The sequence below is a fragment of the Homo sapiens genome, chromosome 1 (genome assembly GCF_000001405.40).
Source record: "Homo sapiens chromosome 1, GRCh38.p14 Primary Assembly".
NCBI classification, from domain to species: domain Eukaryota; kingdom Metazoa; phylum Chordata; class Mammalia; order Primates; family Hominidae; genus Homo; species Homo sapiens.
The window spans coordinates 247,029,623-247,046,103 of record NC_000001.11 but is presented as its reverse complement, the minus strand read 5'-3'; the positions used below and the strand labels follow the sequence as shown (position 1 = coordinate 247,046,103).

Here is a 16,481-nt window from a genome sequence, read left to right as displayed (position 1 = left end):
ATCACTTCTGATTGTGGGGGCAAAGAAGCGACCATACCACCTCTTGAATCCTTTGCTGCTTAGAAATGTCTTCCTCTGGAGACTCTTAAGTTATTACTCCTAAATTAAACCTCCTACAAATCCTTAGGGCATTGGACACAATGCAGCCAAGTCTTTGCCAGGGTGTAACATGGGTGACCTTTGCTCAAGCTCACCAAAACTTTGTCATTTCCATCTAAGACCTCATTGGCCTGGCTTTCACTGTCCATATTTCTGTCAACATTTTGGTTTCAATCACTTAACCACTCTCTAAAAAGTTCTAATTTTCCTCATCTCCCTGTCTTTTTCTGAGCCCTTGAAAGTCTTCCAGCTTCTGCATGTTACCCAGTTCCAAAGCTGCTTTCACATTTTCAGGTATCTTTATAGCAACACCCCACTCCTCAGTGCCAATTTTATGTATTATTCCATTTTTCCATTGATATAAAGTAATACCTAAGACTGGGTAGTTTATAAAGAAAGTAGGTTTATTTGACTCACGGTTCTGCAGGCTGTACAAGCATGGCACCGGCAGCTGCTTGGCTTCTGGTGATGCCTCAGACGGAAGGCAGAGGGGGAACAGGCAAGCCACATGGTGAGAGAGGGAGTCAGAGAGAGGAGGAGGAAGGTCCAGCCTCTTAAATACCCGGCTCTCCTGTGAACCAACAGAGAACTCATTACTTCAAGGACAGCACTGAGTCATTTATGAGATATCTGCCTCCATGACCCAGATGCCTTCCCCTAGGCCCACCTCCAACATTGGAGGTCACATTTAAACATGAGATTTGGAGGAAACACACAGCCAAACCGTATCAACTGGTAATGTTTGTGGATGTAAAACTCATAAATTACTGGGGATCCCTAAGCCTGGGCACCCAGGAGATGTTCTCAAACTTGAGCAGCTCACCAATTTCAGTTTGGTTTTTCCTATACACGTACTGCTACTCTTAGAGGATTCTTATGGTTTTCTCATCAAGTGAGTTACGATTCTCTGGATGTGCCTCTCTGTCTCTCTAATTTGGTTTGGTAGTTTTTACTGGGAACTCAGTTCTTTAATGGTTAATCTTAGAATTGTTTAGTTAAATTTATTTGCCTTTTATTGTGAATGTGAATGTTGCTTTTTTTTTTTAACTTTTGTGTTCTGGGGGGTACATATGCAGATTTGTTACATGAGTAAATTTCATGTTTCTGTGTTTTGCTGCATAAATGATTTTGTCACATAGATAGTGAGCATAGTGCCTGATAGGTAGTTTTTTGACTCTCACTTTCCTCCCATTCTCCCCCTCAGGTAGGCCCCAGTGTCTGTTGCTCCCATCTTTGTGTCCATGTATACTCAACAGTTAGCTTCCATTTATAAATGAGAACATGTGGTATTTGGTTTTCTGTCAATGCATTAATTTGCTTATGATAATGGCCTCCAGCTGTGGCCATGTTTATGCACAGGACATGATTTAATTTCTTATAGCTGCATAGTATTCCATGGTGTATATGTACCACTTTTTAAAAAATCCAGTCCACTATTGATGGGCATTTGGATTGATTCCGTGTCTTTGATATTGTGAATAGTGCTGTGATGAACATACAGGTACATGTGTCTTCTTGGTAGAACAACTTATATTCCTTTGGGTGTGTATCCAGTAATGGGATTGCTGGGTCAAAAGGTAGTTCTGTTTTAAGTTTTTTGAGAAATCTTCAAACTGCTTTTCACAATGGCTGAACTAATTTACATTCCCACCAGCAGTGTGTAAGTGCTCCATTTTCTGCGCTACTTTGCCACCATCTGTTAAAGACTCTAATAATAGCCTGAATGTTGCCTTTGTTTTTTGGGGTTTTTTTTTTCCAATTATTTCTCCTTTTATTGCTCCTTCCGTGAACCTTGACAGTCTCCTTTGGTGGTCTCAGGAAATCTTTTCAACATAAATTATTTCTCAAGCAAAGGAAAATTTACTTTGAGCATTAAGACACATACATAGTTCTGCTGTATTTGTTAAATGGCTCTTGGAGCATTTGATCCTTGGTTGAAGGCAGAAGATACCCACATTGGTTTGAGGAGCATTGTCTTCTGAAATCTTTTTGTAAATCACTCTTCTTAAGAAGTTCTCTTTTTCGGTGTTTACCCAGGTTTTCAAGAAGTTGTTCAAAAACTCACATAAGGTGCTAGACTGGTCTTATATCTCTGGTTCTATGTTTAATATCAGATTCAGTTTAATTCTCCTTTTTTCCTCTTCATTAGTGGAAATGGCATCCAGTTCATGGCAGATGAGGCTTATGGTTGGAACAGTAAATGGATCAAACCGATCCAGTTTCTGCAAATCAGTAGGCACAGAAATGCGACCTGTTTTAGGATGAACGCTAAAAGGGCTCTGCGGTAAATGATTGATTTCTTTGTTGACATTGATACCCCATCGTGGAAACAGTCCTGGAGCATAATCTCCCACTGCAGCCAGGATCCACATTTTGATTTTTGATGTTATTCTGACATCTGCTGGTGCTCCCAATGCTGAAGTGAATTGTGAGACTTTTGGAAGCTTTGTTGAAGTTCATCCTGAATTGTTTCAGGAACAAGGGCTAAAATCTTATCCCAGCTTTTGTTATTTTTGAGAATATCTTGATTAACCAAGGCATATTCTTCAAAGTTTTTTTTATTATGTTTATAGATTTTCTGACAAAAGGGTGAATTTTTTCAGTTAGGTGAACTTTCTTTTTAACATCTTGACCATGCTTTACAAGGCTCAAATACTCAACTATCCCAGAATATACCACCGAAGACAGTTTTCTAACTGATTTATCACAGACCAAACAATGTACACCCCTCCTTCCAGAATATACCCAGAGACAATGCTTAAATCCAAAGTCCTCCTTCAGTGCTGTGTTAGTGATGCGTATGGCCCTTGTCATGAGGGTCCAGCACGTAGAACATGTATCTGCAGAACTACAGCATCTCCTCACATTGTCATGTCTGTCATGTCAGTGTCAAACACCAGTTCTTTTTCCTGAGCCTGGAAAGCTCCCAGCCTCACTGTATTGTGTTGATTGGGTCTGTGGGAATATACTGCACCTATATCAATCTTGTATGGATTCACTTTCTGCATCTCCTTTTCCAGATCACTCTGGTTGTTGAAGGATTGGTATCGAATGTAATGTCATCTTTCAATGTGAATGAAAATTCACAGTGTTGGGAGTAATTCTTTATCACTCTGCTGTAGTTGAGCCAGTTACAGTACAGAGAATAGGGAAAGAGCCTCTGGTAATAACATTTCAGTAGCTCAGACAGCGTGGTGGGGTCAGACATTTTCATGGAACTCAGAACTCAACCTAGGAAGCTTGACCATTGCCTTTTATGCCTACTTGCTCTACTGGAAATCAGAAGTGTCTGTCTCCATTTTTTTCTTTAATTCACTGCTGTCAACTTTTAATCCTAAACTTACTTTCTTCTACTTCTGACGTCACATCAGGATATGGTGAAAACAAGCCTGGGTGCTCTCTCTGGGTTTTGGCAGCAGATTGAAACCATGTAAATCTTTTCCCTTGAAACTGAATTCTCATCCTAGCTTTCCACCTACCCTCAACAGAAAACACAGGCCTGGCTCCTTTTCTTCCTCATTCAAACCATATCAAACCACCTTGAAAGGCCTGACCTAATGGATCCACAAGTGTCAATTTTCTGAGTAATAATTTCCTACCCTTTCCAAACACATCTCTGCCCGTGACCATCGCACTTAGTACCACTAGCAGAATGTTCAGACATTGCCCACCACCATGTGGTTCTGTCTTCTCTCGCAATGACTTGCTAATCGGTTCTGCCGCCTGGTATCTGGTGTGTACTTTAGCTGCTTGCTGAGCAACTAGCACTGTGAGCTGTGCTGCTCAATTTACTTATTTCTGTGAAATCTGTAAATCACGACTCAGATCACGTTATAAGGCAAAGAAACATAAAAATTGTGTTCTTTTACATTTTAATTAATTTTTAAGTTTTCTATTAAGAAATACAGTAAGAATGAGTAAAACATTTGTCAAGAGTTTTAGTAACAATAGTTGAAGCAACTTGGAAATTATAATTAAGATTCTTAACTGGGCCTCCTACAGTCATTAAGAGTTTTCTGATGGTTCCCACCTAGACTTATCTCTTAGTTGACCACTGTTGTGATTGTTTGGCTACTTTTTTGCATTTTTATCATCTGTAATTTTTCAGTTCCATTTTGCTTTACTTGAACTTTCTAAAATGAGTATGAATGGAATTAAAACAAAAAGGTTTATTGGTGATTTCCTTGTGTCAGTATGTTTCACACATGCTAGTGCCTGAGGCTGTGGACCATTTAATTCAGCCGTCCATTTTAATGATTCTGATGTGAGGGCTTTTTCAATTGTATTTTTTTGCTTTTGGGAAAAATAATGCTCCTATGATTTTATGCCACATCTCCAAGTGCAAATGCACCGTAAATTCTCTGGACATTTTAGAAAAATTAATGGGCTACACATTGTGGTAAGTTCAAATTAGAGCAATGGAGGGTATCAGTTGACTCCTCCTTCCTTCGTGAGTAACCCGTTTGCCATGGCCGTCATCACATGGAGTTGATTTTTTTCTTCTAGTCAATTTCAAATGTCATATACCTGACTATTTTCTATTTTCTCATTACCAAGGAAGTTGACTTTTTAAAAAAATAGGTGGTCTTTCATCTTCTTTTAAGTATGCTTTGCTTATTTTCTCACTTTTAAATCGTGTTCATTTTTACACTTCATACTAATTCTTTTATATTGCATGTATTACAGTTTTTTCCCACTGCTTTTTGCCTTTTAATTTCCTGAATATTAATATATGTGAATTTGCCAGTTCCTTTTTTTCTGTTTAAATGAATTCTGCCCATTTTTCTGTCCAAAAATACCCCTGTTTTCCTTCGAAGTCTGAACGTATTTTAGTTTTGTCTTTCATATTTGAAATAAAGAACTTGATTATTGTTCATGGAATAGAGGGGAATGCAATGTACTTTTTCAGTTAGTACCAATTTGCTCTACTGTATGTTTTAAAGTGCTTTTGATTTCTTCCACTATTCTGGAATGCTCTGTCATTAATGAACTTTACATACAAAATTCCTGCTTACAGGCCAGGCACAGTGGCTTGTAAGCCCAGCACTTTGGGAGGCCAAGGCAGGCAGATTACCTGAGGTCAGGAGTTCAAGATCAGCCTGGGCAACATGGTGAAACCCTGTCTCTACTAAAAATACAAAATCAGCTGGGCGTGGTGACACATGCCTGTAATCTCAGCTACTCGGGAGGCTGAGGCAGGAGAATCGCTTGAACCTGGGAGGCAGCGGAGGATGTGGTGAGCCGAGATCACGCCATTGCACTCCAGCCCGGGCAACAAGAGTAAATCTCCATCTCACCAAAAAAATAAAATAAAAAAATAAAATAAAAATAAATTCCTGCTTATTTAAAACTTTTTTCCCTTTTGGACTATTTGTTTATCTCCACATTAATACTGTCCTGAATATTATAGTTTGAAAATTCTGATACATGGTAAGGAAGCCATTGCCCTATTGTTTGGAAGACTTTGACAATTCTTAGACATTTTTTTTTTGTTAGGTTTGGAAAAGTAGTTTTCAGTTGCTAATAAAGTGTCTGTTTTGGGGATTGATGGAATTTTTTAAGGCTATTTGAAAGAGGTGATATCTTGATGACATTGAGTTTCTTCTAAGCACACGTACTATCTTTCCACTTACTCCATTGCACTTTGTTGTTATCCAATAGAAATTTTAAAATTGTTTTGTTTGTTATTAAAGATAAATTATCAGTCTTATTTACAACTGGGTTTAATTTGGTCTGGAGTAAACTACTTGCAAGCTTCCAAATATTTTCTTATTATAATCACGTTGATGCCTCATTTCTCCAGTTAACAAGTTGTAACAGCATATGAGAAATATTGTTTACCAAGAATGCTCATTAGAGACTTAATGCTCAGAGTGTTTTTCAGAGCTGATCCCCTAGGTACCACTGCAAGAATGGAGTAAAGTAGTAGGCTTTCAGAAACAAAACAAAACTGGAGTTCAGCGAATAATATATTGTTTGCATAAGATTGTTTACATATTGTGAACCACTCACTTAGGGTGATGAGATCCGTCAAAAAAATCTATTTTCTCACACCAAAAGGTCAGACTTTGTGAGCAGGTATTTCTAAGGATATGTAGTCTTAAGACTTAATACTAACTGTTATACACAACAAATAGCATGACTTCGTTATGAGAGGCCCTTAAGATAAAATCTACACATAGAAATTAGGGGTGACCTCATTTCTTACAGCACAGTTTATTCCCTGCACCTGCCAATGAGACAGGTGTTCCTACTCTGCTGTTGACTTTCTGAATAGTTTCATTTTAGCATGAAGAATGTTGAGTGGGCAGCAGTAAGTGCAGACAGAGAGTAAAGTTCTGATGACCAGGTCATGGAAGAAATGTTTGAAGTCTGCAGAATTATGTTACGATTTTATGAGATGAGTATAGATTCTTAGTACTGTCTGTCTAAGCCATCCTCCTCTCCACATATGTGCGATATTCTAGGATTCAGTGTCATTTGAAGATGTGGCTGTGGCCTTTACTCAGGAGGAGTGGGCTTTGCTGGATCCTTCTCAAAAGAATCTCTACAGAGATGTGATGCAAGAAATCTTCAGGAACCTGGCTTCTGTAGGTAAGAATAACAACACTTATTCACGTAGTTGATTACAACGCAAGTGTTTTGGCTGGGCGTGGTGGCTCACACCTGTAATCCCAGCACTTTGGGAGGCCAAGGCGGGTGAATCGCCTGAGGTCAGGAGTTCAAGACCAGCCTGGCCAACATGGTGAAACCCCATCTCTACCAAAAAAATAAAAAAATTAGCCAGGCGTGGTAGCAGGCGCCTGTAATCCCAGCTACTTGGGAGCCTGAGACAGGTTAATTGCTGGAACCTAGGAAGTGGAGGTTGCAGTGAGCCGAGATTGAGCCACTGCACTCCAGCCTGGTCAACGAAGAAACAATCTGTCTCAAAAAAAAAAAAAAAAGAAAGAAAGAAAAAAGAAAAGAAGAAGAAAACAAGTGTTTCTTGGTTATGAATGTTTCCTGATTTGGCATGTGGAAAGGGAGTACTTTGGTGAAAAAAATTAGTTATGGTCACAGTGTATAGTGAACCTTGAATCTAGCAATTTTTAAAGTTTCTAATCATTTGAATAATCTTATGGTTGTACCTTTTAGGAAACAAATCAGAAGACCAGAATATCCAAGATGACTTCAAAAATCCTGGGAGAAATCTAAGGTAATTTGCATTCACAAGAGCAAAAATGCCCCTTGAGGGAATCTTAGCATGTCATAAGTTTTTAAAACAGACAAAACAACTAAGAACCACTAGAAATTTTTTTTTTCCAGAAAAGTCTTAGCAAAAAATACACCTGAATGTAACATTGATGTTCAATATTTTCAGAATATTTTACTTGGAAACACCACCAAGATACTGTACATGTGACTATCACAATTATGATAATAATGATAATAGCTATGGGGGACCCATATCTTACAGTAATTAATTTATTTACTTTAAAACAATTTAGATATGGCAGGAAACTTGCATTTTCCATGGTATTAGTAGCAATGTAAACCATGAATAAATGTACCATTAATGATGTTTATCATTTTTACAGCAGTCATGTGGTAGAGAGACTGTTTGAAATTAAAGAAGGCAGTCAATATGGAGAAACCTTCAGCCAGGATTCAAATTTGAATCTGAATAAGAAAGTTTCTACTGGAGTAAAGCCATGTGAATGCAGTGTGTGTGGAAAAGTCTTCATATGTCATTCAGCCCTTCATAGGCACATCCTGTCTCACATTGGAAACAAACTATTTGAGTGTGAGGAATGTCCAGAGAAGTTATATCATTGCAAACAATGTGGGAAAGCCTTTATCTCTCTCACCAGTGTTGACAGACACATGGTAACACACACTAGTAATGGGCCTTATAAGGGTCCAGTGTATGAGAAGCCTTTTGATTTTCCTAGTGTATTTCAAATGCCTCAGAGCACTTACACTGGAGAGAAAACATATAAATGTAAACATTGTGATAAAGCCTTCAATTATTCAAGTTATCTTCGTGAACATGAAAGAACTCATACTGGAGAGAAACCCTATGCATGTAAGAAATGTGGTAAATCATTCACTTTTTCCAGTTCTCTTCGCCAACATGAAAGATCTCATACTGGAGAGAAACCCTATGAATGTAAGGAATGTGGCAAAGCCTTCAGTCGTTCCACTTACTTGGGAATACATGAAAGAACGCATACTGGAGAAAAACCCTATGAATGTATAAAATGTGGCAAAGCCTTTAGATGTTCCAGAGTCCTCAGAGTCCATGAAAGGACTCACAGTGGAGAAAAGCCCTATGAATGTAAACAATGTGGTAAAGCCTTCAAATATTCTAGTAACCTATGTGAGCATGAAAGAACTCACACTGGAGTGAAACCTTATGGATGTAAGGAATGTGGTAAGTCGTTTACTTCTTCCAGTGCCCTTCGAAGCCATGAAAGGACTCATACTGGAGAAAAACCCTATGAATGTAAGAAATGTGGTAAAGCCTTCAGTTGTTCCAGTTCCCTTCGAAAGCATGAAAGAGCTTATATGTGGTAAAAAACAACAACAACAAAACACCTCTGTCAATGTAAGAAGTGTGTTAAAGCTTTCAGTTATTCTAGTTTCATTAGAACACGTGAAAAAATTAAAAACTCAAATTAGAGAGAAACCCAACACATGTAAGGAAGATTAGAATGTATGCAATTTTCCTAGTTCCCTTCTAAAACTTAGAAGGACCCGTCCTGGGAAAGAACGTCATAAAATACGAAAAATGTGTTAGAACACTTTATTTTCCCAGCCGCTTTCAAATATATTTTTATCAGTGGTTCATTGTTAAAGAAGGTGTCTATACTTTAGATTTTCAGTTTTTTGCAGGGAATCATGGAGCTGAGAATTTCACAGATACTTTATAAGCCATAGTACATGAGCTTAATAGGCTGTGTTTTGTTTCTCATCAGTTAACATAATTTTTGTCTATTCATTTAAAAATTTGTTGGATCCCTAGACTAAGTTGAAATGTATTTCTAATAGTAGGCAATTTTAATTTTCATGTAGTTGTTTAATTGTTCTCTAATTAATGGACCAATGAAAAATGAGTTCATGTGTGTGTGTGTGTGTGTGTGTGTGTGTGTGTATTCTACCTTTTTATGGGAAAACTACTTTTTTGTTGTAAAGATTTTCTTCTGTTTTCTTTGCTAATAAAGAATTGTTATTAATTTGCATGTATGTGAAGTTTATATAGTCTCATGTACATTGTTATTTTCATTTTCTTTCCTTTATTCTGTCATGAGTTTTGGCTGTTACTTGCATAGTTCACTTTTTTAAAAAATGTTATGTTTTTAGAGAGGGTCTCACTTTGTCAGCTAGGCTGAAGTGTAGTGGTAATAATAGTCTTAGCTCACTGCAGCCTCAAATTCCTGGGCTCAAGTGATTCTCCCACCTTAGCCTCCTATGTAGCTGGAGCTACAGACACATGCCACCATGCTCAGCTAATTATATAATTTTAAAAATTTTTTATAGAGATGGGATCTCGCTGTATTGTCTAGGCTGGTATTGAATTCCTGGCCTCAAGCTATCCTCCTGCCTCAGCCTGTCTACATGTTGGGGTTACTGACATGAGCTACCACACCTGGCCCACTTTTTACTTTGAATTAAGAAGAGAGAACTGTGATTGGACAGTATGCTTGTCTAATCTGCGTGTGAAAGCATTCAGTCTCACCATCAAGTATATTGTGGATTTTTCATAAATATTCTCAAACAGGCTCAGGAAGTTTTCTTGTGTTTTTTATTTATTGTTTCATGGTAAAGGAGTGTTGAACTCTTATGACATGTTTTTTTCTGCATCTATTGAGATGATTTGTGGTTTTTGGCATTCTACTGATAGTCTATTACGTTAACTGGCTTTCAGATATAAATATATTATGGTTATCTGGGTGAAATTTGTCTTCATCATGGAATATAAGTATTTTATCTACAGGTTGAACATCTGTAAACCCCAGATTCCAATACCAAATCTGAAATGCTCCGAAGTCAAAAACTGTTTGAGCACCAGTCTTATGCTCAACAGAAATGCTCATTAGAGGATTTTTGATATTTGGATTAGGGATGCTCATCCAGTAAGTTTTCTGCAAATATTCCAAAATGTTAAAAGTCTGAAATCCAAAGCACTTCCGTTCCCAAGTATTTCAGATAAGAAACACTCAACCCATATTGATAACGTTCAATTTTCCAGTGTATTGTTGGGGCCTTTTGCATTTATAGTCAAATTGGTGTGCCCTAGTATACCATATAGTATAGCATCATCTGTATATATAGCATGTCTACATGTATACTTATATGTGTATAAGTAGCTATATAATATGTGGTATAGTACAGTTTTGTAAGTTACTATGAATTATGCATAACTAGTTTATATTATGTGTAATTAGCACTACAATAAATTGTATATTACAGGATTATGGCATTATAACATACTATTTTGATCTTATCAGTCTGTAGCCTAACATATTTCAGTTGCCTACCATTCCACAGATGCATTTAAACAAACCAATTGCATCCTTATGAGAACCAAGAAGCATCTCACGTTCTTGATACTACAAAGCATTCCCCTTACACCCTGTTTGTTCTATCTGCTCCGTAGTGCAAGTCTTGTGTGGACCAGCCTCGTTTACAGAACCCTCCCTTTTTTGTCTATGAATGTATGTAACTAATAACTTCTCTCAATCTTATCTGTACACTCATGGGTGTCACGTGTTTTTCCCAGTAGTCTTAGGGTCCTAATTTTTCCTGTCACCCATGAGACTGTGAAAACAATTGGCATTACCAACAGAATGAACCAACCATGACTGATGATATCTTTTCAGCTTTAACTACCTGCTTTTGTCTAACTGGTTCCATAATATAACAGAAGTCACCTGAATTAGAAACAGCAATTGATGGTGGACTTTCACTTTGGTCTACACAGTGCTTTGTGTTATCAGCTGTTGCCACCTCTTCCCACAGTAGAACTCTCAACTCCTAGACATGACTGGTTGACCAGCCGTTCCCCAGGAGGATGTATGTTCCACCTTGACCTGTGTTTGGCAGGCAGTTTCCAAGGTACCCCACATTGAGGCAGTGACCCAGCACCTTCACCACTGGGTTCTTTATTCCTGATTATCAAAAGTCAGACTACTGCTCTGTGGTAACTGCATCTCGTTTGGTTGCCATCACTGGATGCTTGGAGTAGCCATGTGAACGTTATTACTGTACACACTTGGGACAGCTCCAGGGATTTTGTGTGTGTGAAGTTGCAGAAAGGAAGAATGTCCCCATGCTGGGGAGAATTAAGCATGTCACCTAATTGTGTAACAAGATGACTTGTGCAAGACTAGTGGCCTTGAGTGTTTTCTTGTGCTGTTGCTTTTATGTGCATTCTTCTGATGAGGTGCACATCCATGGTGCCTCTTGGTCCAGGCACTGATGAGTCAAGAAAAGGGGAGGAAGCATTTGGCATTAGCCTCTTTCATTGCAGAACCTCTATCTAGTATATGGGCTTCTTTTAGCACTACTGATCAGCATGCCAAAGGCCTAACCTTGCAACCTAGATGACCTTAGTCAAAATGACCTTACTGTATGTTGCTAACACCAGCAAGATTGAGTGGCACTCACTGGAGGATTAGGTGTTCTTCAATGTGGGTTGACGGACTCCTGAACTGTTTTCTTTAACCACACAGATTGCCCACACTACCGATAAATCAAATGCTGCTACTTTGCATGAGAAGAATTAAAAGATAGTCTGAAGCAGTTTTTATAGAAAGAAGACAAAAGCAGTCATGAGTCATGCTGTGGTCCAGAAACCTAATAGCAGATGGCCAACTGGGACACTGAAATTTCTGTACTGCTACTGCCTATGTTTCTATCACAACAAATATCCTGATCCCTCACTGTTAAGGATTCAGAACTGTCCTCCAAGTTTTATTGGACTGGTCCGGTTCTACCCTCTTTCTTACTTGCAGTTTTCAAGAATAAGTGTAGAATGTGCTGGGAATGGAATATCCTGATATCAGAAGAGAATGGTAGAACAGCCCAGACTTAACAGTCTTCACAAGAAATACAATCTCTCAACACTTTTGGTCAGTGAGTCAGGTGATCCTGGGCTATAAAACCTGGGCTGGGCTATTTTCTGGAGTCTCTTAACTGTGTTGCAAGTGGGGCACATGCAATCAAAATTCCATCCTTCCAGGCAACTTCTCTGAACCTCAGGGGGACCACATCACACTGAATTTTAGACTTCTCATCTTCGATCCCTTTATAAGTAATAAATCAACTTATGTAATATGTGCATGAATGTGTTCTCTCTCATCATACTCAGACAAGCTGATAACAGTACACAGTGAGCCTGCTTTGGGGAGAAACAACCATGGTACCCATATGACACAGCAAAGGAGTTAATTCAAACATAAACCTAGAATTCTTTTTTTTTTCTTTTTGAGACGGAGTCTTGCTCTGTCGCCCAGGCTGGAGTGCAGTGGCACGATCTCGGCTCACTGCAAACTCCACCTCCCGGGTTCATGCCATTCTTGCCTCAGCCTCCCAAGTAGCTGGGACTACAGGCGCCCGCCACCATGCCCGGCTAATTTTGTTTTTGCATTTTTTGTAGAGATGGAGTTTCACTTTGTTAGCCAGGCTGGTCTCAATTTCCTGACCTCGTGATTGTCCACCTTGGCCTCCCAAAGTGCTGGATTTACAGGTGTGAGCCACTGTGCCCAGCCAAACCTAGAATTCTTGAACCCCACCAACACAGCTATTACCTTGTAGGAGACATGCAACAATGGCAATGTTGGTTTTAGCCTTTCTGGAAGAATACATTGATAAATATGAATAGGGTACACAGACATTCACCCACTGGCCTCAAAGGAGTTCCTACCCAAGAGAAAGTTTTACAATTTGACCCGATTGGGAATCTGAAGTTTACTAAATAATATATAAAACTAGATAATTGGGTGCTGATTAGGTTATATGCTTCTGCAAAATGGCCTCTGAATTAATTTTTTTTTTCCCAAGGCAGAAGTATTTTTATTAGTACAGAACAAAATGAAAAGTCTCCCATGTCTACTTCTTTCTACACAGACACAGCAACCATCCGATTTCTCAATCTTTTCCCCACCTTTCCCCCTTTTCTATTCCACAAAATCGCCATTGTCATCATGGCCCGTTCTCAATGAGCTGTTGGGTACACCTCCCAGACGGGGTGGTGGCCGGGCAGAGGGGCTCCTCACTTCCCAGTAGGGGCGGCCGGGCAGAGGTGCCCCTCACCTCCTGGACGGGGCGGCTGGCCGGGCGGGGGCTGACCCCCCACCTCCCTCCAGGACGGGGCGGCTGGCCGGGCGGGGGCTGACCCCCCACCTCCCTCCCGGACGGGGCGGCTGGCCGGGTGGGGGCTGACCCCCCACCTCCCTCCTGGAGGTGGCGGCTGGCCGGGCTGGGTCTGAACCCCCATCTCTCTCCCGTACGGGGCGGGTGGCCGGGCAGGGGCTGACCCCCCACCTCCCTCCCAGAAGGGGTGGCTGGCCGGGCGGGGGCTGACCCCCACCTCCCTCCCGGACGGGGTGGCTGCCAGGCGGAGACGCTCCTCACTTCCCAGACGGGGTGGCTGCCGGGCGGAGGGGCTCCTCACTTCTCAGATGGGGCGGCTGCCGGGCGGAGGGTCTCCTCACTTCTTAGACGGGGTGGCCGGGCAGAGACGCTCCTCACCTCCCAGACGGGGTCGTGGCCGGGCAGAGGCGCTCCTCACATCCCAGACGGGGCAGCGGGGCAGAGGCGCTCCCCACATCTCAGACGATGGGCGGCCGGGCAGAGACACTCCTCACTTCCTAGATGGGATGGCGGCTGGGAAGAGGTGCTCCTCACTTCCTAGATGGGATGGCGGCCGGGCAGAGATGCTCCTCACTTTCCAGACTGGGCAGCCAGGCAGAGGGGCTCCTCACATCCCAGACGATGGGCGGCCAGGCAGAGACGCTCCTCACTTCCCAGACGGGGTGGCGGCCGGGCAGAGGCTGCAATCTCGGCACTTTGGGAGGCCAAGGCAGGCGGCTGGGAGGTGGAGGTTGTAGCGAGCCGAGATCACGCCACTGCACTCCAGCCTGGGCACCATTGAGCACTGAGTGAACGAGACTCCGTCTGCAATCCCGGCACCTTGGGAGGCTGAGGCTGGCGGGTCACTCGCGGTTAGGAGCTGGAGACCAGCCCGGCCAACACAACGAAACCCCGTCTCCACCAAAAAAATATGAAAACCAGTCAGGCGTGGCGGCGCGCGCCTGCAATCGCAGGCACTGGGCAGGTTGAGGCAGGAGAATCAGGCAGGGAGGTTGCAGTGAGCCGAAATGGCAGCAGCACAGTCCAGCTTCGGCTCAGCATCAGAGGGAGACCGTGGAAAGAGAGGGAGAGGGAGACCGTGGGGAGAGGGAGAGGGAGAGGGCCTATGAATTAATTTAAAAATCTGTTGAAATGCATCAATTGGGAAACCTTAATGTCCTTAATCAATACAGGTTACAAAAGAATTATACTGGTGATGCCACAACATTTAACTACAGTTCCCCTATGATCTTAGAGGGAATTACTGTATATAAAACAGGAATGCTATCTTTTAATTAAAAAAACCAGTATCATGTAGCCTAAATTCTCCACAGTCATAGCACCCATTGTGCTATGATAGACCGTAGTTGACATGGATTCCCTGATCCAATGAGTAATACAGTTGTTTGCTACTTCTACATGTTCTTGACAAAGTGGGAGCCCCTGAACCCCACTAGTTAAAATAAGTTAACATGGTTGAACATAAGTTTTTCTGAAGGTTACTAGGTAAATACTGATTCCATTTCATTAATAGATACAGTATTATCTCCTTTTGTGGGTTTTGGTGGATTGTGCCTGAAGGAATTGGTTCCATTGATCTGGGTTATCATATTTATGGGAATACAGCTGTCTATAGTATTCTTTTTTTTTTTTTTATTTGAGACGGAGTCTTACTCTGTCGCCCAGGCTGGAGTGCAGTGGCGTGATCTTGGCTCACTGCAAGCTCCGCCTCCTGGGTTCATGCCATTCTCCTGCCTCAGCCTCCTGCGTAGCTGGGACTACAGGTGCCCACCACCAAGCCCAGCTAATTTTTTTGTATTTTTGGTAGAGATGGGGTTTCACCATGGTCTCGATCTCCTGACCTCATGATCAGACCACCTCAGCCTCCCAAAGTGCTGGGGTTACAGGCGTGAGCCACCACACCCGGCAGTATTTTTTTTTTGTAATCCTTTTAATGCCCATGGGGTCAGGAATGCTGGTCTGTCATTCATTTTTTATATTTGTCTTTTTTTAAAATCTTTTTTTCTTGGTTATCCTGACAATATTTATTAATTTTATTAATCTTTTTCAAACAACCAGTTTTTGTTCTATTGATTTTTCTCTTGATTTTCTATTTTCAGTTTCATTTATTTGCGGTGCAATTGTTTCGATTTTTCTTTTGACTAATTTAGGTTTATTTTGCTCTTTCTTTAGTGTCTTAAAGTGGAATATTATTGATTTTATTTTTTAAATATTTGCATTCAGTGCTATAAATTTCAAAGCACTGCTTTCACTGCATCCCAGAAATTTTGACAAGGTGTACTTTCACTTTCAATACATTTAAAATACTTAATAAATTTTAAAAGAACATATTTTTACTATGTCCCGCTGCATCTTAACATGAGTTATAATTCAGTTTTGGTAGCAAAAGATTAGAAACCATTTTTAAGTGTCTTTCTAAATAATCAGTTGCATAGCCTGATCATTACACACACCTATATAAAAATGAGCAGCAGTGACGAGACCAGCTCAGTCAGGGAGACCCTAACCCAGCAACGCTAGAGGAATTAAAGACACACACACACAAATATAGAGGTGTGAAGTGGGAAATCGGGGTCTCACAGCCTTCAGAGCTGAGAGCCCCGAACAGAGATTTACCCACGTGTTTATTAACAGCAAGCCAGTCATTAGCATTGTTTCTGTAGATATTAAATTAACTGAAAGTATCCCTTATGGGAAACGAAGGGATGGGCCAAATTAAAGGAATAGGTTGGGCTAGGTAACTGCAGCAGGAGCATGTCCTTAAGGCACAGATCGCTCATGCTATTGTTTGTGGCTTCAGAATGCCTTTAAGCAGTTTTCTGCCCTGGGTGGGCCAGGTGTTCCTTGCCCTCATTCCTGTAAACCCACAACCTTCCAGCGCAGGCATTAAGGCCATTATGAACATGTCAGAGTGCTGCAGAGATTCTGTTTATGGCCAGTTTTGGGGCCAGTTTATGGCCAGATTTTGAGGGGCTTGCTCCCAACATGTCCCCCTTCTTTGATTTGCAAATTGATAAAAGCAAAGG

General features: G+C 41.0%; 1 protein-coding gene, 1 long non-coding RNA gene and 1 pseudogene across 3 annotated transcripts in view, besides 1 other annotated feature; 2 read left to right on the top strand and 1 right to left on the bottom strand.

The window, feature by feature from the left end:
• The window catches only part of ZNF670 (zinc finger protein 670), a 44,175-nt gene extending 32,708 nt beyond the window's left edge, over positions 1–11,467 (top strand). Inside the window, exons 2-4 of one of the 2 annotated variants that reach the window (NM_001204220.2) lie at positions 6,567–6,693; positions 7,234–7,294; positions 7,680–11,467. In NM_001204220.2, the coding sequence (NP_001191149.1) occupies positions 6,567–6,693; positions 7,234–7,294; positions 7,680–8,655 (1,164 nt within the window). In that variant the 3' untranslated portion in view covers positions 8,656–11,467. Of the gene's footprint in view, positions 1–6,566; positions 6,694–7,233; positions 7,295–7,676 lie in introns of both variants that reach the window. The other variant, NM_033213.5, reaches the window with a different exon arrangement.
• Positions 1–16,481, top strand: part of ZNF670-ZNF695 (ZNF670-ZNF695 readthrough (NMD candidate)) — a 133,266-nt gene that overhangs the window by 32,708 nt on the left and 84,077 nt on the right. The gene's annotated exons all lie outside the window — the stretch shown is intronic.
• Positions 473–640: a silencer, noted in NCBI's record as "fragment chr1:247208766-247208933 (GRCh37/hg19 assembly coordinates)". NCBI's record gives its function as "represses an EF-1alpha promoter that drives an FKBP-Casp9 reporter gene in an ReSE screen in phorbol 12-myristate 13-acetate-treated (for megakaryocytic differentiation) K562 erythroleukemia cells {active_cell/tissue: K562(+PMA)}" and the evidence as "EXISTENCE:reporter gene assay evidence [ECO:0000049][PMID:32094911]".
• On the bottom strand, positions 1,937–3,327 carry LOC100420880 (DNA primase subunit 1 pseudogene; annotated as a pseudogene).